Here is a 1,035-nt window from a genome sequence, read left to right as displayed (position 1 = left end):
TATCTTTCTCTCTGTGTGTATGAATACTTACGCTCCAACGTGGTGTGTATGGAGCCTTCACAAAATGGCCCACACAAGAGACCCAATGCCTGACTTCAAGTTAATGTAGACAGAAGGAATTCTAAATTGCCTCCCAGTATAAGCAGTCCCCAATGTAAGAATAACATATTGGCCAAAAGTTTAGAATTCAGTATGCATTTTCTTATTGAAATATCATTCTATTTGATCCTCAGATTCCCAGGCCAGTCCACACAAGTCTCTTGAACCCTGAATGTAGCCAAGTTATATATAGTACTAATTAGTACCCGCTTAAGCTCCATCCTGGGGGCAGGGGCAGGTGGTGAGGAGAGGAGTGAGCAGGGAGTTTCCTCTCACTTTTCTGGATGGGATGGATGGGAGGGAGGCAAGGCACAGGTCCTAGGCAAAACCTCAAAGAAGACAAAGTTTGTACTTGACAGCTTCCTCTCTCCATGTCATCATGCACTCTCTGGATTCTCAGTGCCCTCATTCCTCCCTTCAGATCCAGCTATCCCACCTGCCTTGTTCCACAAAGAACCTCAGGCTCCGCCATTAACCACCTCACACAACAATCAAAACCTAAATCCCTCCAGGGCAGCTGTCTGGCATTAGGAAGGAAGCAACTTAAGTGAAATAAATGATAATTGCTTAACCCTCAGATACCTTTTCACTTTTAAATACTTTATTATTCTTTATTACCCTCAAAATGCATTCCCCAATTACAAAAATAAAGGCAGAGGGCTAAAGTGAGTGAAAACCTTCTGGCAGTGGAAGCAATAGAAGGGAGTTTTGGGAATGAGAGGGATGAGATTTTGGGTGATGATAGAAGTAGGCAGCACCAACTAAATAGGCCATACCTGTCCTTCCTAAGCATCTGTAATGTAATCCAGGCCTTCTCCCCTTACAAAGAGTGCTAATGTTATTCCTGCTCTTCCGACTTTCTCTTTCTTTCACTTCTGAACCTGCTACTTCTCTAAAATGCCAGGGGTTTGGGTTTATTGTGAGATGTAGCAGCTT

The 1,035-nt window shown here is 43.5% G+C and overlaps 1 annotated feature.

Annotated features, from left to right (window-relative positions):
- Positions 1-766: an enhancer, noted in NCBI's record as "H3K27ac hESC enhancer chrX:109911493-109912258 (GRCh37/hg19 assembly coordinates)". NCBI's record gives its function as "activates a minimal SCP1, AML or CMV promoter by ChIP-STARR-seq in naive H9 embryonic stem cells {active_cell/tissue: H9 hESC(naive)}" and the evidence as "EXISTENCE:reporter gene assay evidence [ECO:0000049][PMID:30033119]".

This window comes from Homo sapiens, chromosome X (assembly GCF_000001405.40).
Source record: "Homo sapiens chromosome X, GRCh38.p14 Primary Assembly".
Taxonomy (NCBI): Eukaryota; Metazoa; Chordata; class Mammalia; order Primates; family Hominidae; genus Homo; species Homo sapiens.
This window is presented reverse-complemented; position numbering and strand designations above follow the sequence as displayed.